The following is an 18,623-nucleotide window of genomic DNA, read 5'->3' on the forward strand; positions in this document are numbered from 1 at the left end:
ATTTTATCACCTGTGAAATACAAAAGTCTGGCAACTACTGAATAGTCAAATCCCTCCTTCTATAGTAGAAACAGCTAAGGCTCAGTGGTAGAGAAATAAGTGGTCCAAGATAAAACCCCAGATTGGTCAGACACTACTGACGGTGGCTATGTGTAGGACATTCCTTCAACTGTCACTTTTCTGATTTTGCCTTTTCTTTAAGCATGTTCTACTCCACCTCAGCACCCTCCAGGCAAACCAGATCCTGTCCAGAGCACCTTTTTTTAATCATCTAGATCCTAGCTTATTCTCCCAAAGCACCCCCAAATTATTGGTATCTGCCACTATTTCTCCATCCCATCACTACTTTCTCCACATCAATACCAGACCCCACCCATTGCCTACTTCTGAGTTTTCTCTTTTACTTCAAAAATTGTTCTTTGGAGGAATTACTTGGATGCTGATACTGTTTCAAAGCAATAATTATGGATTTTACTATACATTTAATTACCTATTGTAATGTTTGTGGATGTCTCTGCTTCTCCACCTAGATTATGAACACCTAAACAACAATAGCTGTGTTTTGTCTTCCTTCTACTACCTAGTACACTCCCACTGTCTTAGGTACTCAAATATATGTAGACTAATGAATAAATGGACACAGTCTTTGCAGAGCGAGTGCTTTAATATTTCGATAAATATAAAGATTTCTTTATTGTGGTCCTCAGTTTACAAATAACAGACAGGAACCAGGGGACTGGGTCCAGATGGGAGTAAGGAGGAAGCCAAGAAAACCATTTATTCCTGGGGCTCTGGTCAGTTTTAGTTGTAAATGGGAAGGGAAGAAAATAACATGAAGTGGAGGCAGTAGGAAGAAGAAATGAAGAATCCCTGAGTGAGGACAGGAGTCTTGGAATGACTCCACGGTGCACCCGCACCCTGTTTCATCTCAGGCGGCATCCTGTCAGCCAGTAGAAGAGTGGCCGGCCTGAACAGTGCAACCTCCATTCTACCCTGCGGAGAAAAAAGACATGGTTCTTGCCTCACACTCAGTAACTCTTCCACACACATGACCCAGTTCTTGGTGAGTCTCGCATATGGAGCAACGCCCAGAATCCCCGTCATTGCTAGCTAGCCCTCTGGTCTGTCCTCCACTGTCCCCTCTGACGAATCCTGTAAAACTCTCTCATCTCTGGTGTTTGCCTGCTTCCCTGGATCAACGTTTCCACATTTTAAAATCCTCATATCTCCCTGAAGGGGTGAGCACTGTTTTACAGGGCTGAGAGTTACTTATTAAAAAAAAAAAAAAAGTCCCAGGTACAACCATTGATTCTCCCTCCAGAAAGGATCAGCATAATCATCGCTGTCAATTCTTTTCTGTGGTGTTTTGAGTATGCAGGGGATTTGACTCCTTCCACAGTTGCCTGTAGAGGCAGCCATTTGTGTTACTTATATATCTAGTTTGAAGCTCAGAAAAGGTGACTATCTGAATGTCCACCGTTGGTGAGCTCACAGCTATGTGGGTGTCTGCCCAGCTGATGAATGCCACATTTTTTTGTTGTCGTTTTTTGTTTCTTTTTTTGAGACGGATTCTTTCTCTGTCACCCAGGCTGGAGTGCAGTGGCGCGATCTCAGCTCACTGCAACCTCTGGCTCCCGGGTTCAAGCGATTCTCCTGCCTCAGCCTCCCATGCAGCTTGCCTTAAGGAGCATGGACAGAAAGCAAGGGAAAGGTCCCCAGAGAGATCCCGGCCCACAGGGTCAGTGCCTCATCCCCACATAACACAAAAAGCAGCCTGGGACAGGCACCCACCACAACGCCTGGCTAATTTTTGTATTTTTTAGTAGAGACAAAGTTTCACCATATTGGCCAGGCTGGTCTCGAACTCCTGACTTTGTGACCCACCCACCTCAGCCTCCCAAAGGGCTGGGATTACAGGAGTGAGCCACTGCGCCCAGCCGCCACATTTTTTTTTTTTTTTAAACAGAGTCTCATTCTGCCGCCCAGGCTGGAGTGCAGTGGCGCGATCTCGGCTCACTGCAGCCTCCACCTCCCAGGTTCAAGCGATTCTTCTGCCTCAGCCTCCTGAGTAGCTGGGACTACAGGCAGGCGCCACCATGACCAGCTAATTTTTTGTATTTTTAACAGAGACGGGGCTTCACCATGTTGACCAGGCTGGTCTCGAACTCCTGACCTCAAGTGATCCACCTGCCTCAGCCTCCCAAGGTGCTGGGATTACAGGCGTGAGCCACCATGCCCGGTCCACATTTTTAAATAAAAAAATATTGTCAATTATGGCCACAGGGCCCGAGCGGCAGCCATAATTGTATTGCTTAACTCCTCCCATCCCTACAGTTGATTGGACCAAGGGGGCACACATGGTCCAAGTGGAACCAATCAGATTCTCTATCCCAGGAACTTGGACTGGGACTGAGCCTAGCCAGTCCCTATGGTTGCTTAGGACTTTAGCTTATTAACTTTGCAGCACCCTTTGTCCTTTAGACTGTGGAGCAGAGAAAGTCTGCGGAGAGAGAAGTGAAGCAAATGCACCAAGAGAAGCTGAAACCTGCCATGGACAGTGTGCTGACAATTTCCAGCCCTGGTTCCATGCTCTTCCTGAGGCCCAGCTGCAGCCCTTGAGTGGGCTCAGTGAGACATCTGGGCCTCTCAGAATAAATTTCCCCCAGCTAGCTCAAGTTGTTTTCTGTTACTGCAACCAGAAGAGTTTTGTTTAATACAATATCATAGAAGAACCAGATCTCAGAGTTCCAAGCCCGTCCGCTATCCCACATCTTTCTAGACACTGCAAGGGCGTGCCCGTGAGTCCTTGCCTACTGCCCTTTTCTCTGTCACGTCCTCCTTCGTGGGGCTCTGCCCGCTGAGTCCCACCGTGTCCTCCTCACCAGTTGTTCATCCCCCGTGCTCCGGACACAATCCTTTTTGCGCAGTGGATGCCTGCAAGAAGGTTGGGATTCAGCAGATCTGAAAGGGAGGAAGAGAAAACCTGTGAGGGCACAGAAGACAGCCCCAAAGATGGAGGCAGACACCAGCCCTCCCTGGACAGCCCTATGCCACCTAGAGGCTTCCAGTTGAGGCAAAGGCTGTCTCCCAGGGGGCCCATTTAGACATCCCTACAATGGCTGCTAGAGGTTCGAGGTGAAAGGGGGTGTGGGCAGAAGGGGCAAGAGGCCTGAGATTTGGGCCTGTTCACTACTATTCTTCCTAACCAGGGTAGATAGTGGTTCACTCAAAGTTTGTGGGAGGTTTCCAGGGAGAGGAAATGCCAAAACACCACAGAGGTATGTCCCGCCTAGTGAGCGGGGGTCTTCAGGCGAGGAGCCGAGGGACATCGGTCAGTGTGCGAAGGCAGAGGTGAGGGGCAGAGTCATGGGCCCTGTCGAGCCTCCTGGATCAGCTCTGAGGTAGGGAGTTTGCACTTGGTCTTTGGTCAGATCATTAGCTAAAGAGGGTACTCCGGAATGGTTAAGAGCCTGTGAGGCCATTAGTCTGGCATTCAATGCTGGTTCTCTTTTTGAGCCTCAGTTTGCTGTTTTGTAAAGTAGGGATCATAAATGGTTTCTACTGCATGAAAGTTGGATGAAATAAGCCAAGTATGTAAAGCACTTAGTGTATAATATTCTCTCAATAAACATTGGCTGCTGCAACTGTTCTACTACTACCAGCTGTATACGGAGCCTTCCTGGATCCTACTCAGGGACTCTATAGAATCTCCTAACTGGATGGGCATTAGGGACACTACTCCAGCCCTCTGCTCAGTAAAGGGATTCCCTGATTTTTTGAACCATATTTCTGGGGCCATTCCCAGGCTGTGGGTGGGAAGAGAAGTTCTGTGAGCAGAGCCTGGTTGCTGCTCTCATCTCTCCCACCCTGGGGCCCTGGCCAGACCTTGACAGTCTACGTGGCAAAGGTTTTCCGAGTAACTCTTATAATCGTTGCACCAGTAGTGGCTGTTGATCTGGAAGAGGCCATAGTCAAAGCTTCCGTCTGCATTTTCATTTATCTTTGATATGTTGAACTTGCTTTCCACAAAAGCCAGGCACAGCCCTTAGAGTAGGGAGAAGAAGGTCAGGATTTAGAGGGGACCAAGCTGAGTGAGAAGGGAGATGGAGGAGAAAGGGAGGCAAGGTTTCAGACAAAAGGAACAAGGCCTGGGAGGCAAGATAGGACTAGAGGGCTTGAAATCTCCATTGACTTGCCCTCTTATCCTGTGGTCCATCCACCCACTCATAAGTACAATTACTCATCTGTCCATCTATTCATGTGTTTTGCACTTACTGAGCACCTACTGTGTGCCAGGAACTGTGCAAAGCCTAGTGAGGGACATTTCAGTTGGGTCAAACACAGATGCTGCCTTCAAGGGGCCTGTATTACAAGCTTAAAAATATGTACCTAAGCTTGTAATACAGGCCTTGTAATAAGCTTGTATGTACAAGCTTAAAAATATGTACAAGCTTAAAAATATGTATGCCGGGCGCGGTGGCTTATGCCTGTAATCCCAGCACTTTGGGAGGCTGAGGCGGGCGGATCACGAGGTCAGGAGATCGAGACCATCCTGGCTAACACGGTGAAACCCTGTCTCTACTAAAAATACAAAAATTAGCTGGGCATGGTGGTGGGTGCCTGTAGTTCCAGCTACTGGGGAGGCTGAGGCAGGAGAATGGTGTGAACCCAGGAGGCAGAGCTTGCAGTGAGCCAAGATCGCGCCACTACACTCCAGCCTGGGTGACAGAGCGAGACTCTGTCTAAAAAAAAAAAAAAAAGGTACCTAAAAAACCCACAAAGCAAGATTAAAGGACAAAAGTGTTGCAAGACAGGTGCACACAACTCCTGGGCAAAAGGGAGATATCCCTTCCATGCAGGAGGAGAAAGCCTTTGTACTAGCTGTCCCCTCTGCCTAGAGTGTTCTTCCCCCAGACATTTGGGTGACCAGGTCCTTCATTTAATTCAGTGCTGCTTAATGTCATCTCCTCAGAGAGGCCTTCCCTGACTTCCCCATCTAAAGAATTCACCATTGCTCCCCCTGCTTTATTCTTCTTCATAGCATTGGTCACCACCAGGCAGTACGTTATGAGTGTGTTTGTTGCTGCTCTCTTCCCCTAGGATGTGAACATTATAAGGGAAGGGAATTTGTTTATCTCTACAGCCCCAGTGCCTAAAACAGTTGTTGGTACATAATAAGTGCTCAGACAATAACTTGAGTGAATACAGCGTGTTGGGAAAGGCTTTTTTGAAGGGGGCTGCTTTTTGAACTTGGCTTTGAAAGATGAACAGGAGAGAAAGAAGCTGGCCATATAGGACATGACTAGCAGAGGAGAAATGGCTGGGGAGGGGCGGATGGTACTCACAGTCACTCAGGGAGTAACCCTCAAACCCATCCAAGTCCTCCAGCTGCAGCACCTGGGCCAAGTCACAGCGACTGATGAGGCTGGCCTGATTTAGGGCAAGAAAGCTGCTGACCAAATAGATGAGTAGCGCCTTTGTCATCCTTGGAGGGGAGGAGGTGCAGCTGAGGGCTGATGGTTCTTAGGGTCTTGCAGACTTTCTGCTGATCTTCTCTGAGAGCCTGGGGAATCTGGAGAGGGCAGCCAGGTTTCCTTACTCACTCACTGCTCCAACCTGGCTGTTTCCAATCTCTTTTCTCTTGTTTATTATTTTATAGATTTTTATTTATCATGGAAAATTAAACCTTTAAAAAAGGAAAGAGAATAGTATCATGAACCTCCATATACCCACTTCTGAGCTTCAACATTCAAAAACCAAGGCCAATCTTTCTTTGTTGTTGTTTGTTTTTTATTTTTTTATTTTTTAGAGATGGGGGTCTCACTCTGTTGACCAGGCTGGTCTTGAACTCCTGGCCTCAAGTGATCCTCCCATCTCAGCCTCCCAAAGTGCTGGGATTACAGGTGTGAGCCACCACACCTGGCCAATCTCATTTCATCCATAGGTCCTCTTATATGGGCACCCAGCTATGGGTAGTATTTGGGTATTGGGATGGGGAGTGAGGTTGGCAAAGGAGATTACTGAAGACTATCTTCACCAGCATATGTGTGTGTGTATCTGAGCATGTGCTTTTAGAAAGAGGGCCAGGACACTGGGTGCTAATCTCCCCACAACCCCACTCCCCCAGACACATGACACATGATTTTTCCCAAGGGCATACCCTGCCTGGTACAATTCTTGGTGGGCTGGCTGTAGACGTAACCTTCACTTTCACATTGTGTATGTGTGTGTGCGCGTGTGTGTGTGTTGAATAGCAAGGGCCCTAGATTCACACTGCCTGCTTTCAAATCCTGGGGTGCTATGTGACTTTGGGCAACATACTCAACCTTTCTGGGCCTCATTTGTAAAATGAAGATATGCTAATACCTACCTAAAAGGGTTGTTTTGATGATTAAATGAAATAATGCCCAGATCTTGGTTCACATTCCACACAAAAGGGAACCAGGACTCTAGGAAATATGGCTGATTCCCAGGCTGGAGCAGGAAAGGGTTATGAGATGTCTGGATTATCTTGCTGTACAAGAAATTTAAAAAGTGCTCGAAATATGTATTGGGGCATGTCAAATGGACACAAGAGCTAGCTCAAAGGGGCACCGACTGGCCAGATCTGAAACGATGTTTTTTGGTAACAGCATTATTGAGATATAATTCATGTATCATACAATTAATTCAGTTAAAGTGTACAATTCAGTGGTTTTCAGTATGTTTGCAGAGTTGTACAACTACTACCTCACTTGATTTTAGAATATTTTCATCAATCCAAAACAAAACCCTGCACCCATTTAGCAGTCACTGCCCATCCCCCACCTCCCAACCCCTGGCAACCACTAATCTACTTTCTGTCTCTATGGATTTGCCTCTTCTGGACATTTCATACACACGGAGTTACAGAAAATATGGCATTTTGTATCTGGCTTCTTTCACTTAGCATAATGTTTTGAAGTTTCATTCAGGTTGGAGCATGTAATGATACTTCATTCCTTTCTATGGTTGAATAATATTTCATTGTATGAATACACCATACTTCGTCTATCCATTCATTAGTTGATGGACATTTGGGTTGTTTCTATTTTTGGCTATCATGAATAATCCTACTATGAACATTAACATACTAGTTTTTGTGTGGATATATGTTTTTATTTCTTTGGAGTAGAGTTGCTGGGTCATGGGGTAACCCTAGGCTTAAGCTTATGAGGCCTACCAGATTTCCAAAGTGGCTGCACCATTTTGCATTCCCATCAGCAGTGTATGAAGGTTCCAATTTCTCTACATCCTCACCAACACTTGTTATTATCTGTCTTCTTGACAAAAGGTATCCTAGTGGGTATGAACTGGTATCACCCTGTTGTTTTAATTTGCGTTTCCCAGATGGCTACGGATGTTGATCATCTTTTTATGTGCTTATTGGCCACTGTATATCTTTGGGAAAATGTCTATTCAGAACCTTTGGCCAGTTTCAAATTGAGTTGTCTTTTTATTACTGAGTGGGAAGAGTTCTTTATATATTCTGTATACTAGACCAGCATCAGATATATGGCAGATATTTTTTTCCCATTCTGTGGGTTGCCTTTCACTTTCTTGGTGGTGTTCTTTGAAGCCCCAAAGTTTTTAATTTTGATGATGTGCAAGTTATCTATTTGTCCTTTTGTTGGGTGTGCTTTTGGTGTCATATCTAAGAAACCATTGCATAATGGTTTCCAACCCAATCTGGGACAATTAGACCATCAGAATAAATGACAGTAACAGATTATACATTAAATGCAATAGGAATCCATGAGCCCATAATAATAATAAATTGACAAAAAGATACATTGTGTGGAGCTGAAGCAGAGACCTCTTCCTGACAATAAAAGGCCAACCGATAAGTGTGGAGGAAGTCATGGAGTTGAAAAATAATCACCATTTTGCAACTATCATAGATTGGTTTGAGAACAAATCATCATTGCATGCTAAATCTGAGGTGGTGGGAAGAATGCTGAAGAACTGGATATATCATGATCTTATAGGGTCTCCCCACAGATTGCTTATTAGTTGCACAGAAAGAAAAAACAAAACAGTATACAGTGGATAACCAGACAGTATTTTGACCTTGCAATCAAAATTAACATCTCCAAAGACGGACAGAGGGACATTGTGTGCCTCCAGATGTGATTCCCAAGGAGGACACATCGCTTATGCAATATTCCGTCCAGGGATGCATAGGCTATGTCTAATCCTGAGGAAACATCAAAGCCAAACTCACTGAAAATCTGTAAGATAACTGGCCTGTATTCTTCAAAATGGCCAATGCCATGAAAACTGAAAGACTGGCCAGGCATGGTGGCTCATGCCTGTAATCCGAGCACTTTGGGAGGCTGAGGTGAGAGAATTGCTTAGGCCAGGAGTTTGAGACCAACCTGGGAAACAGCAAGACCTCATCTCTACACTAAAAAGAAATAATACTTCCAATAAATCTGAAAACCTGGGACTATTTCTGTCACTGAGGGAAGGTGTGTTTTTCCCCTTAACTTAGGTATATGCTGCTGAGGGGGCAGAAGCCTGAGTTCTTCCACCCGCCGCCTTCAAGTGTCAGGCGGCTTCTGCTTGGACAAGATGGCTACCCTGGTGGGCTTGTTTCTTCTCTGGTCTTGTTATAGGAGGCAGAAAGAAACTACTTAGGTAGACAGTTAGGGTAAAGTGAATCCCCAGCAGAAAACTTTCCTTTTAACGCAAAGCAGCTCAAAGATAGCTCCCTTTCTAACCTCACGCAGTTCAAGGAAATCACTTTTCTTCTAACAACAACCAGCCTGAAAGAGCAAAGGGTAAAAACAGATAAGAGCTCAGGCACAGAAGGATGGGGGAAGTCTCCTGGGTAATCACCAAACTTCACACTTATACAATGGGCCCCAGTAAAACAGTGGGCCTTAATAACTACATTCCTTTCTCTTTAGGCGCGCTAAGATAGGGAAGCTAAAAGCAGAATCGATGGGTATGCCTACAGCTGCAAGATGTGTGGGAATAGACACAGAAACTCTCGCTCCCAGATAAGCAAGACAAAGAGACACAGACTAAAAGTTGATGTGGTCGGGAATGGGGTGAGAGCCTATTAAAAACTCTGCTCTATACAGATAGCACACCTGGTCCCAACTGAACCATCGGGCTCTAGGAGGATAAGACATCCCCTCCTCATGAATGCCCCTCTCTAGCCCATTTATAAAACCCTGACGTTTTTACTACCACCTGGCAACCTGCCTGGGACCTCTGTCTGTGACAGAGAGCTGTTCTTTCCTTTTGCCTATTAAACTCCTGCTCCAAACTCACTCTGTGTGCGTGTGTGTCTGCGACCTCGATCTCCTTAAACGTGAGACCACGAACCTTGGTATTTACTTCAGACAATGAGGCTGCTTCTGTCTCTTGTTCTATCTGAGACTCGTTCCACACCAGCCTGAGCTTCGGGCCATTCTTTTGCTTCTCCCATCATTCTACCCCCAGAGCTGACAGATTTGGCAAATAAAATTTACAAGATGCCCTGTTAAATTAGAATTTCAGACAAACAACCTACTCCACACTGACTCAGGAGGGTCCCTCAGAGATAGATGTCACTGAGCCTCGGGAAGCAGGAAGCTCCATCCCTGCCCATTAAGCCCCCTCTCAGGGTCCCCTCAAGGAAGACAGTGGCTCCAGAAGGTATGTTCCCACCCCTTCCACAGCTTACCTCTCTCCCATCCCTCTCTGACCCTGGGTTCCACCTGGCCCAGAGATTTCTGGGAGGATCTGTAGAACAAGGCTGTCTACAGTAGGAGCCTCTTCTTCCTCACCACATACACTTCAGCCCTGCCCAACTAACAGCTCTCCATGTTCTAAAGAAGGCTTCTGGAACCCCAGTTCTGTGACGTCATCCATCTCCTGGAAATACACTGGTTTTAACCAGGCAAATTGGCCAAGCATCAGGCAGAAGTAGCAGCTGGGCCTGGGAGGACAGGTGACATCTGTGAGGAAAATGGCCGGGTGGGATAGGGTGGAGAGCACTGGCTGTTTCCTTCATTTTTGGGAACAGCACCACCTTTGGGGGGACTCCTTCCCTCATGGGGTTTTAGTGGGGGCTGCCAGTCCTGGGGTCCTGCCCCCCACCACCCCCCATAAGCATAGGAATGCTTGTGTGCCAGTCACTATATTTGTAAACGGAAGCTGGTGGAGCTGCTCAGCTTCCAACAGGAAGCCCATGTGTGCAGGGCCAGAGGACATAGCCCATCTAAGGTGCTAAGCCTCCGTGAAGAGGGAGCGGAGTCTGGACGGGATTCCAGCCCCAGGGTCCACCCTTTCTGGGACCCAAACACACCCTTCCCCTCCCTTCAATTCTGAGATTCAATAAATGTCCCCACTCACAGAACAAGTTTGAGTTGGGTTTCTGTCACTTGCAGCCAAAAGAGCCAGTTGTAGTCGGCATGGGGTCAACCATCTGTGATATGGTGACCTGACACCCTGTCCCCTCCCTGTGAAGGCCACAACATCCCAACATCATTAGTCACCGAGGAAGTCTGGGAGAAATTTCTACCAACTGTAGCAAAAAAGAGGCAAGGGAGAAAACATCTTGTTACTGACGGCCCACTCTTCCCTCTGAAACAGGGAGGCAGGATCTGACAGAAAAATAGGACAAGGGGCTTCTGAGTGGGCAGTGCTGCCCCGTGCCCCTCCAGACTTCTCTTCCCAGCAGGGCAGCAGTGCATGGCACCCTGGGATAGAAGGCCTGCAGGGGCAGAGGGGAGGCTGAACATGCTGGGGGCACCACTTTATGAGAAACCATTTGTGGCCAAAAATCTACATGGGCTTCAGATGACCTGAATGAACTCGTCTCTGTAGAGTGAGAGTCCTGGGCAGGAGGAAAGGTTTCCATAGCCAAGGACCACATGCTTGGAAATTTGATCTCTGAAACTTAAGATCTGAGAGAGGATGGTCTCCCAAGGAAGTCACATGAGCCTCAGTTTAATCCTGTTGGTTTGCAGAAGTTTCCACTCCCTCTGGAGGCTGGGTTGGGACCTCCTGCTGGGCTGCAGAATATTTAGTCTCTTTGATAGGCTCTGAAGTTATGGTCATTCAAAGGGGGTCCAGAGGGACCCTCCACCTCCAGCCCCCTAGCTGTGGCAAACATGGGTAGATTCCTACCCATTCAAACAACTGGAAAACCCAAGCTGGGACCCATGAGTCAAGTCAGCTCAGGGCAAGAGGACAGATGGATACCATAGGCCATCTGTCTCAATATTTGCAAGTTATAAATTAAACTAACAGACTGTTAAAGTATGTCCTACCCTCATACTCTGACAAATATTCCTTTAAAAGGATAAAATTTTAAAATGTGTATGAAGCTATGATTTGTATTTTTTTTTTTTTAGAGATGGAGTCTCACTCTGGAGTGATCTCGGCTCACTGCAACCTCTGCCTCCTGGGTTCAAGCAATTCTGCCTCAGCCTCCCGAGTAGCTGGGACTACAGGTGCATGCCACCATGCCTGGCTAATTTTTTTTTGTATTTTAGTAGCGACAGGGTTTCACCTTGTTGCCCAGGCTGGTCTTGAGCTCCTGAGCTCAGGCAATCTGCCTGCCTCGGCCTCCCAAAGTGCTAGGATTACAGGCGTGAGCCACCACGCCCGGCCGATTATGTTATGTTATGTATGTTAAAGTATGTCCTATCCTCATCCTCTGACAAATATGCCTTTAAAAGGATAAAATTTTAAAATATATATGAAGCTATGATTTGTATATGACAGAAAGTTAGCAAAATGTCAAAGATCATGAAATTTCATGTTTATTGCGCATGTCTGGGTGCTCTGTTGATGGGCTGACAATATTGGGATGAGTAATAAAGATGTGGAATTTATAAATTACTGAAACTATTCCATGAAATGTATTTTTCTTATCTTTCAGCAAAATCGGTAATTATGTTATTATTATCAAGATTTGAAAATACATGTAAGGATTAAAACAATCATATTCAAAGTACAAATATCTTAATATTTTCATCAAAATTATGTTTATGTAAAAAATTTAATTTTATCAGGAATATTTTCCCAAAAGTTAGTTTTCTTTTCAACTATTGAAAAGTATCCATTAAACCAAAAGGCAACATACAAATTAGAATTAGTCAAATTTTTACGTCAAAATGATTGAAATAAATCCATTTTATTTTGATTTTTGAAAACTTGATTAATTTTTATTAATTTTAAATTCATAATTCTAGCATTCAGTGACCACCAATGTAAAGAACAGGCATCATGGTTTGTCTGAGGGCTAGACATAGATACAAATTTTAGAGTAATGTGTAATGTGATTTGTTTAACCCTTTTTCTGTTTGCCCAGAGAATACTCACTGGTGGCACCTGCAGCTGCAGTGTTTACCCCAAGATAACTTTGCCATGAAATATTTAACACAAAGGGTAAATGCTTGAGGGGATGGATACCCCATTCTCCATGATGTCTTTATTATGTATTGTATGCCTGTATCAAAACATCTCAGGTGCCCCATAAATATATACACTTACTATGTACCCACAAAAACTACAACTAAAATTTTAAAAAGTAATGAACTATTGCCACACAAAACAACATGGATAAAACTCAAAATAATTATACTGAGTGAAAGAAGCTTGACAAAAAAGAGTACACACTGTATGATTCCATTTCTAGAAAGCACTAGAAAATATAAACTAACCTATGATGATAGAAAGCAGATCAGGGCAGGGTACAGTGGCTCACACCTGTAATCCCAGCACTTTAGGAGGCTGAGGTGGGCGAATCACTTGAGGTGAGGAGTTCGAGACCAGCCTGGTCAACAAAGTGAAACCCTGTCTCTACTAAAAATATAAAAATTAGCCAGGCCTGTTGGCACGCACCTGTAATCCCAGCTACTCGGGAGGCTGAGGCACAAAAATCACTCGAACCCAGGAGGTGGAGGTTGCAGTGAGCCAAGATCATGCCACTGCACTCCAGCCTGGGAGACAGAGCAAGACTCCATCTTAAAAAAATAAATAAATAAAATAAAAACGAAAGAAAAGAAAAAAAGAGAGCAGATCAGTAGTTGCTTGGGGGTGGGGAGGTAGAAAGAGCAGGAAGCAGGATCACCAAGGGCAACAAGGAAACTTTTTGTGGGAACGGATATCTTCACTATCTTGATTGTGATAATGATTTCAGGTGTATACCAAGGGTCAGATGTTACCAAATTGTAATCTCTATATATGCACAGTTTATTATATGTCAATACCTCAATACATCTGCCTAAAATGTTTAAAAATTACTGTAATTATACAAAATATATTTTATGAAAAGGAAGTTATGGGTGGGCATGGTTGAGAACCACAGCATCAGATAGATTCAGAAGTGGGGGAAAAGCATCTCCCACTTCCCCTTCTTCAGGCCAGCGTGCTGTGCAATTTATCCAGTGGACACTAGAGGACAGCAGCGACTCAGGTAGAGGAAGTGGGCGTTTCAGGGCTTGAATGCTTAGAATTCTCTGCTCTGTGCTCCCTATCCTGGGCGGTGGGCGGTGGGCGTTAATACCCCCATAATACTCAGTTACCGCTGGGACTTGGGCCCTGGTCTGTGGCTCTTGATTCCACCTTGTTGGTCCCCCAACACCAGGAGAGCTCTCTGTGCTCCCAGATTTTTTTTTTTTTTTTTTTTTGAGATGGAGTTTCGCTCTTGTTCCCTAGGCTGGAGTGCATTGGCGCGATCTCGGCTCACCGCAACTTTCGCCCCCGGGTTCAAGCGATTCTCCTGCCTCAGCCTCCTGAGTAGCTGGGATTACAGGCATGCACCACCACGCCTGGTTAATTTTGTGTTTTTAGTAGAGACGGGGTTTCTCCATGTAGGTCAGGCTGGTCTCGAACTCCCGACCTCAGGTGATCCACCCACCTCGGCCTCCCGAAGTGCTGGGATTACAGGCGTGAGCCATGGCGCCTGGCACTCCCATTTCTTTTTAAAAGGATATCCTGACTCCAGTGAGACAGCAGCCATAGTTCCCTGTCTGTTATCTGCAGGGCTGATATGGAGGATTGCAGATGTCACCAAAGAGTTGTGGTTCTCAGGCTGGGCACAGTGGCTCACGCCTGTAATCCCAACACTTGGGGAGACCCAGGCCGGTGGATCACATGAGGTCAGGAGTTCGAGATCAGCCTGGCCAACATGGCAAAACCCATCTCTCCTAAGAATACAAAAAATTAGCTGGGCCTGGTGGCACACGCCTGTAGTCCCAGCTACTCAGGAGGCTGAGGCAGGAGATTTGCTTGAGCCCAGGAGGTGAAGGTTGCAGTGAGCTGAGATTGCACCGCTGCACTCCAGCCTGGGCAACAAGAGTGAGACTTGGTTTCAAAAAAAAAAAAAAAAAAAGTTGTGGTTCTCAAGGGCCTTTGGAAGGCCTCCCAGCTTGCCTGAAATCCACGATTATAAAGCCCGTCAAAGTTGCATCATCAGACGCTGCAACATCACAGGTTAGCATGTCCCTGAGAAAACGACACACTGAAAGGTAATTTTTATAAGAAATAGGGAAAAGAGAGAAGGTTCAATTGAGGGGTAGGAAAATATGATGGTGGAGCCCCCTTACGGTGCTGCAATAGAAGCTTCCCCCCAAAAAGCAATAGTGGTCTGGGCGCTGTGGCTCAGTCCTGTAATCCAGCACTTTGGGAGGCTGAGGCGGGTGGATCACTTGAGCTCAGGAGTTCGAGACCAGCCTGACCAACATGGCAAAACCCCGTCCCTACTGAAAATACAAAAATTAGCTGGGTGTGGTGGTGTGTGCCTGTAATCCCAGCTACTCGGGAGGCTGAGGCAGGAGAATCACTTAAACCTGGGAGGCAGAGGTTGCAGTGGGCCCAGATCATGCCACTGCACTCCAGCCTGGGTGACAGATAGAAACTCCATCTCAAAGAAAAAAAAAAAAAGAAAGAAAGAAAAAGAAAAAAAAGCAAATTGTGAGCATACATTGAGCCATCCCAGTGTGTGAGGCATGATGCGGAACACTCTATGCAGGCAGTCATCTCATCTTCACAGCACTCTTACTAAATAAACTGCAGAGAGGTGGCGGGGTGCAGTGGCTCACGCCTGTAGTCCCAGCACTTTGGGAGGCCGAGGCGAGTGGATCATGAGGTCAGGAGATCGAGACCATCCTGGCTAACACGGTGAAACCCCGTCTCTACTAAAAATACAAAAAATTAGCCGGGCGTGGTAGCGGGCGCCTGTAGTCCCAGCTACTCCTGAGGCTGAGGCAGGAGAATGGCGTGAACCCAGGAGACGGAGCTTGCAGTGAGCCAAGATCACGCCACTGCACTCCAGCCTGGGAGACAGAGCGAGACTCGTCTCAAAAACAAAACAAAACAAAATAAACCACAGAGAGGTTAAAAAATGCCTAAAGGTCCAGGCGCAGCTCACATCTGTAATCCCAACACTTTGGGAGGCCAAGGTGGGTGGATCACTTGAGCCCAGGAATTCAAGACCAGCCTGCGCAACATGGCGAGGCCCCATCTCTACAAAAAATTACAAAAATTAGCCAGGTGTGGTGGCCTGTAGTCGCAGCTACTCCTGAGGTTGAGGGAAGAGGATCCCTTGAGCCTGGGAGTTTGAGGCTGCAGTGAGCTATGATTGCACTACAGCCTGGGTGTGAGAGTAACACAGTCTCAAAAAAAAAAAAAAAAGAAAAGAAAAAGAAAAGCAGTTGTGGACACACATTGAGCCCTCCCAGTGGGTGAGGCACAATGCCAAACACTGTATGAAGGAAATAATCTCATCTTCACAGCATTCTTACTGAATAAGCTGCAGAGAAGTTAAGAAACGCCCAAAGTCACAGAGCTGATAGGAGGCAGTGCAGGATTTGAATCCAGATTTGACACTAACGTATGGATCTAGCTACTGCTCTGCAGTACCCACTTAAAGGGAAGTGTTTTTCTTTCTTGGTTATTTAGTTCATGTGTTAAACTGGTTGGTGTTGGTAGCAGATGGTGAGTATTATAGTTCAGCCTTCTGGAGAAAGCTTGTCAGGCTTCAAGAGAATGTTAAGCATCTATGATGGTCCTAGAGGGAGGTTCCCCTCTCCACCCCTTCACTGCTTTACATGGAGCACTTATAGTGTGTGAGGTTCTGTGTTAAGGATGATACTTTCATAATGACGGTATCTGAAAGGCAGGTGGGCAGAGGCCAGCAACAAGGAATTGAAGGGTCAGTGATGTAGCAATCCAGTGACATTGTTCATTTGCACACACATGGGTCTGTCACATGCAGCCCAACTCACCTGGAGTCCTGAGAAGGTAACCAGACCAGGATGGAGGCCCAGGGAACTCACCAGAAGTTCTCAAGCATCAGAACACGGTGAAAGCATCCTGGTAGGCAGATAACACATGCCCACGGTTTGTGAGAGAAAGTCCTCCAGCAGTTTCTCTCCTTCCCCTTGGCTTTGACCTGGCATACCTGGGATCAGGCAGTTGATTCTCCAGGCCAGGTGCCTCAGGGAGGTGACCCTTCCTGTTCTGGGTTCTGCAGAAGCCAACAGCTCTGGGCTTGTGCCCATCAAGCACTCTTCTGCCCATTTTACTCTCTCGTGGATGCATGGTGGTGTTGATACAGGCCCTGAGTTAAAGGCTCCATGGCCGCCCATGACAGGAGGACAAAGCAAAAGAAAGCCAGAGTTAAACAGGCCCCTTGGGTCCCCTCCTTCACTTCATAGATGGGAAAACCAAGGTCTGGGCAGGGAAAGGGATTCAGCCAAGGCCACAGCGCACTGATGGCCACGCCAGGGTTAGGATTCCCAGCACAGTCTGTTTCTCTCATACTCCGCAGCCTTCTCTAATAATAGATTTTGGGTTGGGTTCTTCTTTATCAAGCGCTGGTCACACATTATCTCTATCTTTCTTAAAACAATTGTTCTTTAATATCATTATATATTCAGTCAGTGTTCAAATTTTCAACTGTTTTATGTCAAAAAGCCTTTTCTAAAGTTGATTAAATCAGGATTGAAATAAGATGCACACATTATGATTAGTCGATGTCTTTTAAATCTTTTAATCCATGGATTCCTCTTTCCTCTTTCTCTTTTTCCTTTTATTCTTGAATAAGCCACATCATGCCTAAACACCTGAAATCCTTCTCATTAAAGAGAAAAAAAAACACCACAGGAAACGTTACTACATATATAAAGATGAAGATAGGAATTGCTTGTGAGTGAAGCAATGAAGTCTGAGCACAATGTGGAAACTGGAAATCAGAGGTTGCATTTTAAAAATCTCCACTCTCTTCTTTAGATAGATTGGTGATTATTTTACCTATTTCATTTTAACTATCTTAAACACAACGTAAGGAACCTAAAGAGAAAACTTGTCAGCAATTGATCTGTCCTTTCAATGAACAGTGAATGCCACGGCGTATGTCTACCTGGGTACAAATCTCCTTTGCTAATAAGCAAACAGTGAACCTCTAAATCAATGTAAACTTTCATCATGTTTCACTTCAGTTGATTCCACACGTTGAGGCTAAGCACAGCTGAGCAAATCAGCTGTAAAATCCTAAAGTAAGAAGATATCATTTTAAAGATAAAAATTGTGATATTTAGGCCAGGCACGGTGGCTCATGCCTGTAATCCCAGCACTTGGGAGGCAGAGACGGGCGGATCACGAGGTCAGGAGATCAAGACCATCCTGGCTAACATGGTGAAACCCCATCGTCTCTACTAGAAATACAAAAAAAAAAAAAAAAAATTAGCCGGGCGTAGTGGCGGGCACCTGTAGTCCCAGCTACTAGGGAGGCTGAGCCAGGAGAATGGCGTGAACCCGGGAGGCGGAGTTTGCAGTGAGCCGAGATCATGCCACTGCACTCCAGCCTGGGTGACAGAGCAAGACTCCATCTCAAAAAAAAAAAAAATTGTGATATTTAGACAAAGCATTCTTTTACTGATTTCATTTAAAAAACCATCTGTGCTCTTGGCTGAACGTTGTGTGAATTTGATCCTGTCATCACAATGCTAGCTGATTATTTTACACACTAGTTGATGCAGTTTCTTCATAGTGTCACTAGTCTTTATATTTTGGTGTATTTTTGCAGTGGCTGGTACTGGTTTTTCCTTTCCGTATTTGGTGCTTCATTCAGGAGCTCCTGCAAGGCAGGCCTGGTGGTGATGAAATCCCTTAGCATTTGCTTGTCTGGAAAGGATTTTATTTCTCCTCTGCTTCTGAAGCTTAGTTGGGATGGATATGAAAATCTGGGTGGAAAATTCTTTTCTTTAAGAATTTCTTTCTTTTTTTTTTTTTTTTTGAGGTGGAGTCTCACTCTGTCACCCAGGCTGGAGTGCAGTGGCGCCATGTTGGCTCACTGCAACGTCTGTCTCCTGGGTTCAAGCAATTCTCATGTTTCAGCCTCCAAGTAGCTGGGACTACAGGCACAAGTCACCATGCCTGGCTAGTTTTTGTATTTTTAGTAGAGACGGGGTTTCACCATGTTGACCAGGCTGGTCTTGAACTCCTGACCTCAGGTGACCCCAAAGTGCTGGGATTACAGGTGTGAGCCACCATACCTGGCCTCTTTAAGAATGTTGAATATTGGCCCCCACTCTCTTCTGGCTTGTAGAGTTTCTGCTGAGAGATCTGCTGTCAGTGTGATGGACTTCCCTTTGTAG

At 45.7% G+C, this 18,623-nt stretch overlaps 1 protein-coding gene across 2 annotated transcripts; it reads right to left on the minus strand.

The window, feature by feature from the left end:
• Positions 1 to 645: 645 nt before the first annotated feature.
• LYZL6 (lysozyme like 6) lies at positions 646 to 9,841 on the minus strand. Of its 2 annotated transcripts, none has more exons than NM_001199951.3 (5): positions 9,695 to 9,841; positions 5,346 to 5,572; positions 3,886 to 4,044; positions 2,883 to 2,961; positions 646 to 993 (listed from the first exon to the last, which is right to left on the minus strand). In NM_001199951.3, exons 2-5 carry the CDS (start codon positions 5,482 to 5,484, stop codon positions 924 to 926), a joined length of 447 nt encoding a protein of 148 aa, NP_001186880.1. In that variant the 5' UTR covers positions 5,485 to 5,572; positions 9,695 to 9,841; the 3' UTR covers positions 646 to 923. The 2 variants fall into 2 exon arrangements, with proteins under 2 accessions (NP_001186880.1, NP_065159.1); NM_020426.4 differs by having other exon boundaries at positions 5,346 to 5,686.
• Positions 9,842 to 18,623: the final 8,782 nt, after the last annotated feature.

Source organism: Homo sapiens, chromosome 17 (genome assembly GCF_000001405.40).
Source record: "Homo sapiens chromosome 17, GRCh38.p14 Primary Assembly".
Lineage (NCBI taxonomy): Eukaryota > Metazoa > Chordata > Mammalia > Primates > Hominidae > Homo > Homo sapiens.

Bases quoted from the DNA above. Each gene is read 5' to 3' on its own strand.
- LYZL6 (NM_001199951.3), bottom strand. From the start codon at position 5,484: ATGACAAAGGCGCTACTCATCTATTTGGTCAGCAGCTTTCTTGCCCTA. The intron at 4,045-5,345 runs GTGAGTACCATC...CCCTACTCTAAG, and splicing joins GGGTTACTCCCTGAGTGACT to GGCTGTGCCTGGCTTTTGTG. The intron at 2,962-3,885 runs GTCTGGCCAGGG...CCTCCCTTTCAG, and splicing joins TTGCCACGTAGACTGTCAAG to ATCTGCTGAATCCCAACCTT.